This window comes from Homo sapiens, chromosome 17 (assembly GCF_000001405.40).
Source record: "Homo sapiens chromosome 17, GRCh38.p14 Primary Assembly".
NCBI lineage: Eukaryota > Metazoa > Chordata > Mammalia > Primates > Hominidae > Homo > Homo sapiens.
The window spans coordinates 60,172,969-60,188,398 of NC_000017.11; the positions used below are offsets into that span (position 1 = coordinate 60,172,969).

Genomic DNA, 15,430 nt, shown 5'->3' on the forward strand with positions numbered 1-15,430 from the left:
CCCCATCTCTACTAAAAATACAAAATTAGCTGGGTGTGGTGGCTCATGCCTGTAATCCCAGCTACTCAGGAGGCTGAGGCAGGAGAATTGCTTGAACCTGAGAGGCGGAGGTTGTAGTGAGCTGGGATCGCTCCATTGCACTCCAGCCTGGGCAACAAGAGCGAAACTCCGTCTCAAAAACAAACAAACAAACAAACAAAAAAACTAAAATAAATAAATACATAAATAAAATGGATATGTATTTATACAAACCATAGAAAAATGTTTGGCAACTATCCCAAGATACCTGACAATGTGAAATACTTTTATTACAACTGGCCTGACCTTCAAAGGCCTTCACAGCTCCTGCCTTCCTGTTACAGTCTACTATGTTCCTCATGCACCTTCCACTCAGCACAAACAGGCTGCACTGCCTCTGAAACGCATCACTTGAATCCTGCCTCTGCTCCTTTGTCCATCTGAATCACCCTCTCCACATTTCTGACCCAGTAATCCTAATCTCACTTTATGAGGCAGTTCGCTTCCCTTTTGCATTTCCCTGGGGTACACTGTCAATAGCCTAGTGTCTGATGTCATCAGTCAGCACTTCATCAGAGGCAATTATGTCTACAGAGCTTTTGGCTAATTACTGTCACTCCTTACATGTGTGCATATGCATATCATCTTTCCCTAATGAGACTGGAAATAATGATTCATTCCCTGGAGCAGTGGTTTCCATAAATGACCAACCCACAGACCAGTGCAAACTGGCTGTGAAAGAGCTTCCTCTGAGGAACTTATTAGAATGCAGATTCTTGGACTGCATGGGAGAGGAGGATCTCATAAATCTGGGTGTAATAGGCACAGAACATTAGGTGTAATATGGGCAGGACTCTGGACTCAGCATATCCAACAAGCTGCTGGCTGATTCCGATGATGCCGATGAATTGCCAGGTTGGGAACTGTTGCCCCCAGAGAAACTAGCAGAGAGCTCTGTACGTGGTAGGTGCTCACTCCCCTATTGTTTGGGTGTATGCCTCCTGATAATGAACTTGAACATAACATTATTGTTATATTATGCCTGTATTGTTTCCTTAAGTGAGGGAAGAATGCTTTTGAGTACCTAATAGGTGGCAAGCTCTGTGCCTACTTACATACATGATCTATTCCTTTTAATAACCTTTGGAAATGAAGTGGTATTTTCACTGGGCGTTAGAAATCTGAAAACTTTCGTTTACAGCTGTTGCAACAGCAGAACTAGAATGTGACCTCCGACATAATGGGCTCAAAGTCTATGACCTTTCTGCTCACCAGAGGGCATGAACTGCTGGTTTGTACCTGGCTTGCAGATACCTTCTTTGGGCAGCACAATGTTCAAAGTTAAAAAAATTTACCAACACTTCTAAACTGGATACTTTGTATTAATATCTGGGTTTCTGGCTTCTCTTCATGGGAAAAACAAAACAAAACAAAAGGTTTGGTGAACACTGGGGCCCACATTCCTGCAGGACAACAGTCACATGGAGCCTTTAGATGGGCATGTGCCTAGAACACACTAGAGTCCCCATCGCTCCCCATTCTCTTACATTCTATTCCCAACCAGGTTCTTATAGGCCTGGGTTTGTGACTGCTGCACACTTATCTACTCTCTTGCTTCCCACTGGTCAGGAAGTCTGGCAAACTTAAAAGGCCTCTTTTTGTTGCTCTCTCCTGTATGGATCTCTGATCATAGAGGTGTGTGCATTTCTGTCTTTGTGATTTCAATACTAAGGAAGCCGTTGGTACATTATCAAGAGAAACTGGGATCGCCACTCCCCAACTTACACATTCTGGTGTGTCCCAGTAAAATTCTGTACTCAGCCTCCAAACTAGCTGGGAAAAATGTGGCAAATCATCTACTTGCTCCAATTCAATGGTGTTTAGAAGTAAGAAGTCACTGTGAGCAATGCCACCAAGTGGTGGAGAGACTCCATGCAGACTCACCACCTTCAGCCAGGGAGGCTGGGAGGCCGAAGACCTCTCTCAACGCATAGGGCCATTCAGAAACTAGAAACAAAATGCTTGCCCATCTCCCTAGGCCAGTCCTTCCGAGGCTTTTTGAGACAAGGTCTCACTGTCACCCAGGCTGGAATGCAGTGGCACAATCAAGGCAACCTCAACCTTCTGGGTTCGAGCGATCCTCCCACCTCAGCCTCCCGAGTAGCTGGGATGACTACAGGCATGGGCCACCACACCCAGCTGATTTTTTTTTTTTTTTTTTTTAGTAGAAATGAGGTCTCACCATATTGCTCAGACTGGTCTTGAACCAGCCCATTTTTAGCTTTTTAAAAGACAGCCTTGGCCAGCCATGGCAGCTCACACTTGTAATCCCTGCACTTTGGGAAGCTGAGGTGGGCAGATAGCTTAAGCCGAGGAGTTCGAGACCAGCCTGGGCAACATGGTGAAACCCCATCTCTACAAAAAATACAAAAATTAGCTGGGTGTGGTGGCGCACATCTGTGGTCCCAGCTACTGGGGAGGCTGAGGTGGGAGGATTGCTTGAGCCTGGGAGGTTGAGGCTGCAGTGAGCCATGATTACCTCACTGCATTCCAGCCTGGGCAACAGAGACCCTGTCTCTATTTAAAAAAAAAAAAAAGTGTGAACCTAGGAGTTGGAGTTTGCAGTGAGCCGAGATTGCGCCACTGCACTCCAGCCTGGGCGACAGAGTGAAACTCCGTCTCAAAAAAAAAAAAAAAAAAAGGAAACCTAAAAACAGACTGGCACTTAAAAGAGTTGTGCTTCATTTTTTGACTTTCTGTATTAATTTTCTGTTTGTTCCTTTCCTTAAACAAGCTGCCACTGCTGCTGATTGAACATGTTTCATTTTATACATTTTTTTTTTTTTTTTGAGACGGAGTTTCGCTCGTTTCCCAGGCTGGAGTGCAATGGCGTGATCTCAGCTCACTGCAGCCTCTGCCTCCCGGGTTCAAGCAATTCTCCTGCCTCAGCCTCCCAAGTAGCTGGGATTACAGGCATGTACCACCACGCCCGGCTAATTTTGTATTTTTAGTAGAGACGGGGTTTCTCCATGTTGGTCAGGCTGGTCTTGAACTCTCAACCTTAGGTGATCCACCTGCTTTGGCCTTCCAAAGTGCTGGGATTACAGGCGTGAGCCACTGCGCCTGGTCCATTTTATGCATTTTTAATGTGTATTCTCGTTTTTGGAAAATGTGAACAGAGGACTATTAAACTCTTTTAGCATCAGAATAGCAAGGAGGTAAAAAAACAAACAACAAAACAAACAAAAAAAACCCTCTTTGTAAAATAGGATTGAGTATCGTTGGATTGAGCACTTACCAAGCAACTGTGCCAGGCATTTGTGTCCTTCATTTAATTCTTACAAGCCTGAGTGTTCGGTATTTTAATTTTATAGGTGAACAAATAGAAGCTGAGGGTGAAGGACCTACAGCTGTCACCTTCATCTCTTCTCAACACTGCCAACTGTCTCCTTGGATCTCCCAGACAGACGACTAGGGACATCTCTGGTTTCTCGGTGCTCCCTAGAAACCTAGGGTCATTTCAAGGCATTATGCAAATGAGCTTTCCTTCTCTTCACCTCATCTCCTGATCTGCACAAAAATGACCGTAGGACCCACTGTAGGTACCAATGTAGGCACCAATCCTCAGTTTACCACCTGCTCTCTACTTGCTTCCCTGCCATAACTTTCTAAAAGGGATGTGAGCCATGTTTAAAGTCACCTGGTCACTGGAGGGATCTTGTTCTACACTCTACATCAGTGGTTGCCAACCTTTTTGGCACCAGGGACTGGTGTTGTGGAAGACAATTTTTCCACGGACTGGGGGATGGGGGGAGTGGTTTCAGGATAAAACTGCTCCACCTCAAATCATCAGGCATTAGATTCTCATAAGGAGCACACAACCTAGATTGCTAGCAGGCACAGTTCACAATAGGGTTCGTTCTCCTGTGAGAATGGCATGCCGCTGCTGATCTAACAGAGGCAGAGCTCAGGTGGTAATGGGAGCAAGGGGGAGCGGCTCTAAATACAGCTTGCCGCTCACCTCCTGCTGTGCAGCCCAGTTCCTAACAGGCCACAGATGGTACTGGTCTGTAGCCCAGGAGTTTGGGAATCCTGCTCTACAGAGTTTCCAACCTCAGAGATGAAGCATCCCCTCTGTAAGTCAGAAAGAAATTATTCAAGTAGGAGAATTAAAACAGGATCACAGAGAGGGAGGCTGAAGAATTTGTCTTTCTGTGTTTACTTGTATGAGGAAAAACGGCACATGGAGGCATCCACAGTATTTAATTTGTTTGTATACTAGTTACAGATAAACAGGTACACCCCATATACAATTACCAATACTTTTTATACAGTTCATATTTCGGTACATCAACACTATTTTATTTACACTCTATTTATGTACATTAACATCTTTCTAAAGTCAGTGCATTGTCAACAAGTTTTATACAGTAATTTACAAGGTGAATGTAGTTAATAGTTAATTTAATAAATTTTCTGCTAGTTCATGAATTAAAAAAATTAATTACAACCAGTATAACAAACACAGATCAAACAACATTAGTAGATTGAGCTACCTGCTTAAATAAAACATCTGTAAAGAAATTATTTAAAATCTTCCACTTTTTAATGGGAATGGACAGATTTTATATACTGAAAATCTTGAAACTATAAAGTATGCATTTTGTCTGACTTTATTACATTAGACAATTTAGGCCAGTCCTACCTACTTGCAATTATATTTTTTCTGAAAAGGATTTCAATTTAGGTAGCCATTTAAGATAACCTTTCCAAATGCTCTGAGAACTAGATATTAATAGTTACTGGCCTCAGATATCAGAACACAAATACTTAGTTACATTGGTAATTACTATCTATGAGGAAGAAAGGGTAGTGGAATCTGACAATTAATGAGAATCAACTTGCAGGGTCTAAATGAATAAACAAAGACCAAAAATAAGGTGAAACATTTCCTTCAAGTATATATTAAAAAACTACACGAAAAAAATGCTACCTGAAATAAATAATATTTATACTTTTGTTCCAGTCTTGATTAGAGAAAAAAATGAAGTAAGCAAAGAAACATAACTTTCGATGACTACTGTAAAATTTAAAAAAAAGACAAATATCAAAATAAAAAAATTAGTGGACATGCAAACAAAGCAAAACTAAAGTTGACTTCCTAAAACCACCAATTTCATTAAATACACTTATGAACTCCTAATGTCTGGGATGTGTTTTGTTTGTAATTTATAGCCCTTAGAGCCATCAAATACACACAAGCAAGTTCATTTGCATGTGTTCTCTCTTTTTTAAAGTGCAAGACAAACACAGAAAAGAACAACCACTAATTGTGAAACGTGATCTAGCTCCAATGCCACTTACCTTCCCAGAAGCTCTTGTTGCAACAGGTGCATGTGAAGATGGTGCAAATATTGGCAACTGCTCCCCTTCCCTCAGCATGGGTGGGGCCGGGGGTGCAGAATACATTTCTGAGGATACTTGAAGTATCCTAAATGTAAGATGCCTCCACTGGGAGGGCCATGGTAGCTGGATTTCCCAGGATGCTGTTTCTTTCTACTGGGTCTCCCACAAGGCTCTGGGTGGAAGGCACACAGCTCTTAAGAGAGCCTCCCTTTCAGACTGACCACTATATGCCCCTGCCACCAATGACTGGTTGTGTCTCAAACATAAATACAACGGCAAAAACAAAAAGCAAGAAAGACAAAGAAAGGGTATGGAAACAGTTTAAAAAATAAATTGAAAAATCCTCGTCCATGCCTTAAGAATCATTTGCACACCTTCGTGATCTTGCTTTCTCCATCTTGTCAATATAATGGAATAAAACTTCAGGAAAAAGGAGGTAGCATATCATGTCGTCCCTAGACAACATTATAATTGTTTGTTTTTTACTCTGACTCCAAGGAAATCTTTAATATTTGTTATGATTATGGTAAACTCTATACTCACTACATATTTGTTCATATCTGGACAAGCACAATTGAATTCTTATTTGGTCCCAGGTGGCTGGTGCCAAACCTTTTGTTTACAGGCTAATGGTGGGATCTGCCTGAAAGTTCTCTATCGGAGAGCTTGTATGAGACTTCAAAATAAAATGATTACTACTCTTAAAGTTAACTATTTTAATTAGAATTTTTATTTTGTGCTTCAGGGCCACAGGATAAAATAACTACATTTAGCTTGCCTTTCAGTGACGCTTTTGCCAAATGTCAGCTACAAGGAGTCATCTCCCTCACCGCCAAGCTGTCTAGCAGCCAGAGTGGTAGCTTTACTGTAACACACAGTACTTTTTGTAATCAGACTCAAAGTCTTCATCCATACTGCTTGTGTCTGCCATCTTTTTGCCATCAGTCTTTGGCAGAAATTGTGCATAGTCTATCCCCTGCTGCTCATAGAAAAGAATGTAGGCAGAGTCGGTGTCAATTTCATCCGGGTGAAGTTCCTGAAAGGGCAAGAAAAACCTTTAACAAAAAGCCATCACTACTATGGCTCTAAATCCTTGCCAGGAAAGGGAAGACCAACCCTCTGTAATTACTAAACCTGATTGCTTCCAATAAGCTCACTAGTTTGGCTGTCTCACACCTGCCCCTTTAAGATGAGCCCCATTATTTCCAATGTTTGCTTTGGGGAAAATATTTTGACCATAGACAAGTCAAAAAAGAATGACCTAAAACCTCATCAAATTCTATTTATTTATTTTTTTGAGATGGAGTCTCGCTCTGTCACCAGGCTGGTGTGCACTGGTGCGATCTCAGCTCACTGCAACCTCTGCCTCCTGGGTTCAAGCGATTCTGCTGCCTCAGCCTCCCGAGTAGCTGGGACTACAGGTGCGTGCCACCACGCCTGGCTAATTTTTTGTACTTTTAGTAAAGGCGGGGTTTCACCATATTAGCCAGGATGGTCTCGATCTCCTGACCTCATGATCCGCCTGCCTTGGCCTCCCAAAGTGCTGGGATTACAGGCGTGAGCCACCGTGTTCGGCCCAACCCCATCAAATTCTAACAGTCTAGAAGATAGGAGTTTTTGCATTAACTAACTCCTGTTTTTTTTTTTTCTTGAGACAGAGTCTTGCTCTGTTGCCCAGGCTGGAGTGCAGTGGCGCAGTCTTGGCTCACTGCAACCTCCACCTCCCAGGTTTAAGCCATTCTCCTGCCTCAGCCTCCCGAGTAGCTGGGATTAGAGGCACGCGCCAACACGCCCAACTAATTTTTGTATTTTTAGTAGAGATGGGGTTTCACCATGTTGGCCAGTCTGGTCTTGAACTCCTGACATCAAGTGATCCACCTCCTAAGCCTGCCTCAGCCTCCCAAGGTGCTGGGATTACAGGCATGAGCCACTGCACCCAGTCAACTAACTCTTTATTTTTCCTCACTACTCATGTTTTCATTCCCTACTCTGCATATAACTTTTGTTCCTTTAATACTGACAGCATCTATATATTGATTCTAACAGAAATATCTATTTCCTATTCAAGAGATAGTCCATTATTTCAACAAATGTTCCCCAGTTCTGTTGATATTCTGTTTCTAACTTTCATTCAAAGACTGAGAATGTTTACCTTACAGCTGCTGTCATTGTAACAGTACCACTTGCAGTTTGGGTTTTTGGCATAAGTGACGTAATGGCCCCCACCCAGAATTCCTGAATGGCACTGTAAGAGATAAGAGAGTGGAGGTATGTTAGCAGTTAACTGTACTATGGCCAGGGTATAGCACTAGGATCTGAGCAGGAGAACACTGATCATGTAAATGATCAGTAGGTGAAAAAATATTTTAGAACCCTCTAACTTTTTCTAAAACCAAAATAAGCAAAAAGCAAAATACAAAAGTCATAAGCTCTAAGTCTTGTGTGGATAAACAATCATTTTATAATTGTAATTACTATTATTATTATTATTATTATTATTATTATTTTGAGACAGGGACTTGCTCTATCACCCAGGCTGGGGTGCAGTCGAGTGATCACAACTCTCTAAAGACTTGACCTCCTGGGCTCAGGTGATCCTTCTGCCTCAGCCTTCCAAGTAGCTGGGACCACAGGCACATGCCACCATACCTTGCTCCATTTTAAAATTATTTCTAGAGATGGGGCCAGGCTGGTCTCAAACTCCTGGGCTCAAGTGATCCTCCTGCCTCAGCCTTCTAAAGTGCTGGGATTGATTACAGGTGTGAGTCACCACACCTGGGCAGGCCAAGATTTCTGTGTTAACTTTGTCTATCACTAAGCTCAATGCTAGGAAATAAGCAGGACCTGAAAAAAATACTTGCTGATGAATACATGAAGACAAGTGAACAAAACACAGACCACTCTCTGAAAACCATATAATAAACCACTTACCGAAATTGCATATAGATTATAAATAGGCTTAATACGAGTATCTTCTCTTTGGTCATCAGTGCTGTCTTCTTCACTGTGGTTTCCAAGCTGACCATTGCTGTAGCCATTGCCACATGCTTCATGCTCATAAAGGAATCCATTGGCCAAAGCTACCTCATGGTCCTGAGGAGTGACCAACTCTGGTTGGCTGCCCCCCAGCACATGCCCTCGACTCAAGGCGTCAGCCAGCTCACATATCTGCCCAGCCCCATTTTCTTTGCTGGCATCCAAGTTCTCTTTACTACTTGACAGTTTATTTTTGCTGCCAATCTGGGGCAGCCGGAGCCTCCCTTTGCTCCTCCCCAAAGTCCGTGGGCTGCTATTAGGGCTGCTGTTTTTGCTGGAGGGACAGCTGGTTCCACTTTTTCTTGATGAAGAAGGAGAACCTGTGAACAGGACAGAAGAAAAGATTCACAAATTCAAATGCCACAAAGTAAGCCAGCCCCAAATGCTACCTCTGAGGTTAGCTTCACAACTGTACACACAAAGGTAAAGACAGGGCAGTCGTGACTGGCTACTCTTTAGTTCCTATTATGTAGCCAGTAAGTTACATTTTTGTCTTCTTCAATGCCAAGTCCCTATAAGCAACAATGTCCTCAAAATGTAAAGTACATTATAGGGACTCAGAAAATAGCAGAAAGATGATTTATGTCAGATTCAGTTGAAAAAAATCTAACTATTAGAGTAAGGAGTTTTCCAAATACATATTCCTCTCCTTTGTAAAATTAGACAAAAAATGTGACCACCATTTACTGAGTACTTCCTATTGTTAGGCATGGTACTGGGAATTTGTTGCTGTCCATTGTTACCTCTATGTCTCACAAAAATCCTGTAAGGCTTTAAACTTTTTGGTTATAGCCTCTTACCCATAGCCCCTTTTATACCTTTAAAAATTATTGAGAACCTTTAGAACTTTTATGTGAATTTTATCTATCAATATTTCCCGTATTAGAAATTAAAACTAAGGAATGAAAAAGTACAATACATTAGCACAGACTTCACTGTCAAAGTGACGATATTATTCCATGTCATGTTATCTCTCACACCATTGTACATTTGTGAGAGAATAAAAGTGAAAAGGCACATATTGTCTTAGTATTTTTATGAAAATAGTTTTGGGCAAGGCACAGTGGCTCACACCTGTAATCCCAGCACTTTAAGAGGCTGAAGCAGGAGGTTCACTTGGGCACAGGAGTTCGAGCCCAGCCTGGGAAATATGGCAAAGCACCATCTCTACAAAAAATACAAAAATTAGCCAGGTGCAGTGGTGCATGCCTGTAGTCCCAGCTACTCAGGAGGCTGAGGTGGGAGGATTGATTGACCCCAGGAGGTAGAGGCTGCAGTGAGCTGTGATCTGTGTTGCACCACTGCACTCCAGCCTGGGTGACAGAGTGAGACCCTGTCTCAAAAAAATAAAAAATAAAATAAATTAAAAAAAAAAGAGTTTTGATCCTCTAGACCCCCTGAAAGATGGGGAACCTCAGAACTTTTGCTATAAGGGGACAAGACAGCAGCTACCATTCCTGTTTACCGTATATCAGGCACTGTGTGAAGTGCTTTACTCTCCATGTGTCACTCTCAACTCTGTAAACCTGGCATTATCTCCATTTTACAGATGAGAAAATAGATTCAGGGAGGCTGAACCTCTTGCTAAAACTTACATAGCTCAAATACAGATAGGTCTGATTCCAGATAGGTTCTTTCCACCCAACCAACCTGATGTTCCAGAACAGAAGACAGAGAAACATATGTAGCCTACAGGAGTCCCAAGAAAGCACCTGCATAAGGCCCCCAGGCCTCACCTTTCGGGCTGCTGATGATGTTAGCGCTGAGTGAGGATGGGCTTTTGCTCAGGAGCACGTCCTCTTCCCCAGCCGAACTCTGCGCATCCACTTTCTTCACCTCCCTTGCCAGAATCCTGGGCTCAGAGAGCTCATCCCCCTGGGGTGTGAGTGGTTTATGCTGGCAGAGAGCCGGGTCTCTTGGTACCAAAAAAGCACTTGGATCAAAACTTTCCCGAGGAAATTTGACAATTTTCTGTGATTTTATCCACCGACCATTTACAAATTGAAATCGCTTAAGGTGAATAATCTGGAGAAGTAAAGGTAGAAAACATCTGCATTAAAGGGTTCTGAAGATACAAAATTTACATGGAAAAAACAAGTCAAATACATGTGAATGTTTGGGAATATATAACAGAACATTTACTCTTCATTATTTTTTAAAGACTTCAAAAATATGGTTTCATAAAGGCCTCTACATAGGCCCCAGTGCACTGGTGTGCTTGTGCACACACACTCAACTCAGCAGTGTGGCACAGCCACGTGACTGCGCAGTGGGTACTGCCTCCAGGCTCAGTTGCTCTTCTAGAGTCCACAAAGGCTTAGCCTAAGCTTCCACCCTCCACAGAGCCAGAAGTTCACCCTCTCCTGAAGTTCAAATTCACCACATTGTACCCCTTGTGGCAGTTCTCACATCACACTGAATTGCAGTTACTGGTCTACATGACTGCTCTGCTTGTTTTATGTGATGATTATATGAAAATATATACTTGTCAAAATTCATCAAACTGGATATTAAAAATCTATGCTTTTAATTGTATGCTAATTATACCTCAATTTTTTTTAAAAGGTCTACCCGTCAGCCGGGCGCAGTGGCTCACGCCTATAAACCCCGCGCTTTGGGAGGCCAAGGCGGGTGGCTCATGAGGTCAGGAGATCGAGACCATCCTGGCTAACACAGTGAAACCTCATCTCTACTAAAAATAAATAAATAAATAAATAAATAAAAAACACACAAAAAATTAGCCAGGCGTGGTGGTGGGCGCCTGTAGTCCTAGCTACTCAGGAGGCTGAGGCAGGAGAATGGCATGAACCCAGGAGGTGAGGCTTGCAGTGAACTGAGATGGTGCCACTGCACTCCAGCCTGGGCGACAGAGTGAGACTCCGTCTCAAAAAAAAAAAAAAAAAGTCTCCCCCTCCTCCCCACCCACCTTGTCTCCAAGCCTGCCCCTTCCCTCTAGTTCCTATCTGTGGAGCTAGCTAACAACCAATGTTATTAATTTCTTGTGCATCATTCCCTGGGAAGCTGTTCTGGTCTAAGAAAAACCTACATTCAGCTTCACAGAGTAGTATGACAGAGACATGAATAGAATAAGAAAACATGGCTGGGCACGGTGGCTCACGCCTGTAATTCCAGCACTTTGGGAGGCCAAGGTGGGCAGATCACCTGAGGTCAGGAATTCAAGACTAGCCTGGCCAACATGGTGAAACCCCATATCTACTAAAAGTACAAAAATTAGCCGGGTGGTAGTGGTGCATGCCTGTAATCTCAGCTACTCAGGAGACTGAGGCAAGAGAATCACTTGAGCCCGAGAGGTGGAGGTTGCGGTGAGCTGAGATTACACCACTGCACTACAGCCTGGGTGACACAGTGAGACCCTGTCTCAAAAAAAAAAAAAAAAAAAACATATAAATATCTGAATTAAAATATGCCAGTACCTTACAGTTACACTGATCTTAATGAATAGGAAGATTTGTCACTTCAAATTCTCCTGACAAACAACAGGACAGTCTCCTAATCCATGAAGGGAGAAGGCAGAAGTAAATTAAATCTAAAAGAACACACAGGCCCTAGTGCACTGGTGTGCTTGTGTACACACACTCAACTCAGTAGTGTGCCATAGCCACATGATTATGTGCAGTGGGTGTTGGGGGCTCCAGGCTCAGTTGCTCTTCTAGAGTCCACAAAGGGTTAGCCTAAGCTTCCTCTCTCCACAGAGCCAGAAGTTTAACCTCTCTTGAAGTTCAAATTCACCACGTTGTACCCCTTGTGGCAGTTCTCACATTGCACTGAATTGCAGTTACTGGTCTACATGATTGATCTTCTAGGTTATAAGCTCTTTAGGAAAAAGAACTACAAAATATTTGTAGAAAGATTCATCTCTGTATTCAACATAAAAAGCTTGTACAGAAAGTGTTTTAAACACTGCTGCAGGAAAGGTCTTATTCTCAAAAATAACAAAACCTCCTGTTTGTTCATGTCTTCTTTCTTTTATGCCAGATTCCTGCTCTCTCAGAGGCAGGACTGTAACATACCAGGATGGGTGGAAGCCTCCAGAGATCCAGCTTCTTTGTTGCTAAGCAGTGGGTCTTACACTTGGAACAGTAGTACATCTCATTTTCCCCTAGCTCTTCCTCACTGGTGAAAGCACGGAGACAGCTGTCCAGGTTGATGGGCTCGGCTTGCGCTCGCCGACTCTGCTCCACACTCTCATGCTCATCTACAACCTGCAGGTAGAGGGAACAGGAGGAAAGGGGTGCGTGGGAAGGCATTTAAAGTGGTGATCTAGGTATGCATCAACCTCTTGGTCACTCACCCTTATTTTACTCTATATAAGGAAAAAGAAAATACAACTGGCTGGGTATGGTGGCTCATGCCTGTAATCCCAGCACTTTAGGAGGCCGAGGTGGGGTAATTGCTTGAGTCCAGGAGTTCGAAACCAGCCTGGTCAAAAGAGTGAGACCCTGTCTCTGTAAAAGAAAAATCTAAAAATTAGCTGGGCATTGTGGTACATGTCTGTAGTCCCAGCTACTCAGGAGGATTGCTTGAGCCTGGGAGGTAGAGGTTGCAGTGAACTGTGATTACACCACTGCGCTCCAGCCTGGATGACAGAGAGAGACCCTGTCTCAAAAAAAAGGGAAAAGAAAACACAACCCAAACTAGAGTCTGAGCAAATACAGCACCTATATATTTATTCACAAATGTTACATCGGTAACATTCTGGATAAAATTTCTATTTATATGACCATAGCTTTTCTTGAAAAATTTTTGAACGCTTCAAAATGACAAAAACAAAAAGAATTGCATTTATTTAACAACTTTGGAATCCTATAAGGGATTACATGTGAGCTGGCCCTCAAGCCAGGGGTGCTGATAGTAAGCCATTTACTTTTAATCAGAAAGCCAGAGCATTATTAGTATGCTGCAGACTTTACAGAGGCTAGGAGAAATAACATGAAACACAGAAACCAGAGCTGGATGAAATAAGGGCACAGAAAAGCTCACCATGAGAAGACAACACAGCAGAGCATGAAACCCCACAGGGTACAACTCATTTGCATCTGATTCCATGTAACACAGAGTTATCAGAATACCAAGTCTATAATTATCTGTCTCCTCCCTCATGGGGCCTTTTTATCTGAGATGGCAACAAAAGGAAGAGCAAGCTCAAAAGAGTGTGCTGCTTTTGCTGAGAAGGCCCCTAATACTCACCCAAACCTTTGGGGTCCTGTTAATCAGCATGTTAGGCTGTGGAGCAAGGAGGAATTAAGTATAAGAAAGGACAGAGAGCAAAGAATGGGCGGGGTGCAGGGATGTAAGTTGGGGGTGGTGTAGAATGAAGAAGACGGAGAGAAGGAAGGATCTAGAGTGCAACAGAAAAGAAACAATTTTTTCCTCTCCATGCCTGGCTGCTACCTGACAAACAATCAAGAATCATAGAGCCGGGATCCTTCTGTTTGTCCCTCTAATGTATGGGAAGGTGGGTGAAGCATCAGGGTTATGAATGCTATCATGAGACTTCACACAGTATATATTTGTGTCCCAAAGCAGAGCCCAGACCACAAGGCCCACACTGACTGCCTCTCTGTGGCAAACGTCACATATGTCCATCACCCACCCTATTTATTGCTCCTCCCTTCCAGAGGTGAACTTCCTCCATGAATTTCCCTTCCTGAAACTCATGATGGGAACATTAGGCTGTTGCAATACAAATTGGCACAGCTCAAGACATTCAGTTTAGAATGGGTTTTCAGGTGAGACTTCTTCCCTATATGAGAGTCACGAGGCTCTCAAATGCTGCTATAAACTAGCAAGGCTGGATTTGATCGTGCAATTAAGGTTCTAGCACTGCATAACTATCCAGGCTAAAGAGCTCATTTAAAAAGGGGAACTTAGAGGAAAATTCTTTTTTTAGAAAAGGAAATCTGGCTTGGACTTGGGTTATAGACTTCTTTTTTGAGTACAAATTCTGTAGTAACAAGATATTAACTGTCATCATCTTTTGAACTGGTCACTCAAGGAAAAAACTGATGTGCTTCAAAAGGAAACGTGCTGCATCATCGTTGTTGGAATGAGTAGAAAAAGGGGTGTATCATATACGGTAGTGTTTCCTTTCTCATAGCCAGTTAAATATTATCTCTATTATCTCTACCAGGAATACTTTATGGCCAACCACAAATTAGAGTAAGCTAGTAAAGAATGTTGATTTTTATTGACTATATTTTCTGTGGAACACAGGCTACAGTGCTAGATGAAGACAGGAAAGAAGGCTGATAAAAAACATATTTGTGGACTGTACTGACAATAATTTCTATTTATCAGTAAATTTCCCAAAGTGATAAAGATTCCCTTTACCTCTTGGGATCTACGCTTAGATCCTCTACTATTGTTTAAATAATCTATAAATTACTTATAGGCACCCTCTTCTTTTTCAAAGTTACTTTAAAGCTCATCTTTAACACAAAACACAGGAAATGAAGTAATAGTTTTCATAGAAGACTATTGAAAAAAAGAGAGTGGCCTAAGAATTTGTCTAGCTTAATTTTCTTTTTTTCTTTCTTTTTTTGTTTTTTTGAGACAGGTTCTTGCTCTGTTACCCAGGCTGGAGTGCACTGGCGAGATCACAGCTCACTGCAGCCTTGATCTCTTGGGTTCAAGCAGCCCTCCAACCTCAGCCTCCCAAGTAGCTGGGACTACAGGTGCACACCACCACACCTGGCTAATCTGTGCATTTTTTGTAAAGACAGGGTGACATCATATTGCCCAGGCTGGCATCCAGTTTAATTTTCTACTGAGGAATCTGAGGTCCCAACAGGAGAGAAATGTAAAGGATAAGAGTGATTGCCTCTGTTTTTTTTCTGATTACTAGGTATAATATTCATGTTGGAAAGCAGAGAAAAATGTTAAAAGGCAGGGAATCCTTTTATATTCTTAATTATATTCTTAATACAAAGGCAACCACTGTCAAAATATT

At 42.4% G+C, this 15,430-nt stretch overlaps 2 protein-coding genes and 1 pseudogene across 20 annotated transcripts in view; 2 read left to right on the forward strand and 1 right to left on the reverse strand.

Annotated features, from left to right (window-relative positions):
* Nucleotides 1-6,053, forward strand: part of CA4 (carbonic anhydrase 4) — a 29,049-nt gene extending 22,996 nt beyond the window's left edge. For 6 of the 7 annotated variants that reach the window (XM_047436650.1, XM_047436652.1, XM_047436651.1 and 3 more), the window contains one exon: nt 3,393-5,221. The gene's annotated coding sequence lies outside the window, so the exon portion shown is untranslated. Of the gene's footprint in view, nt 1-3,392; nt 5,222-5,315 lie in introns of those variants that run through there. The other variant, NR_137422.2, reaches the window with a different exon arrangement.
* FAM106DP (family with sequence similarity 106 member D, pseudogene) lies at nt 311-2,601 on the forward strand (annotated as a pseudogene).
* USP32 (ubiquitin specific peptidase 32) overlaps nt 4,359-15,430 on the reverse strand; it is a 245,090-nt gene continuing 234,018 nt past the window's right edge. For all 13 annotated transcript variants that reach the window (XM_011525372.2, XM_011525371.2, XM_011525376.2 and 10 more), the window contains 5 exons: nt 12,492-12,683; nt 10,197-10,485; nt 8,356-8,780; nt 7,577-7,669; nt 4,359-6,460 (listed from right to left, as the gene is read on the reverse strand). In XM_011525372.2, the coding sequence (XP_011523674.1) occupies nt 6,287-6,460; nt 7,577-7,669; nt 8,356-8,780; nt 10,197-10,485; nt 12,492-12,683 (1,173 nt within the window). In that variant the 3' untranslated portion in view covers nt 4,359-6,286. The remainder of the gene's footprint in view (nt 6,461-7,576; nt 7,670-8,355; nt 8,781-10,196; nt 10,486-12,491; nt 12,684-15,430) is intronic.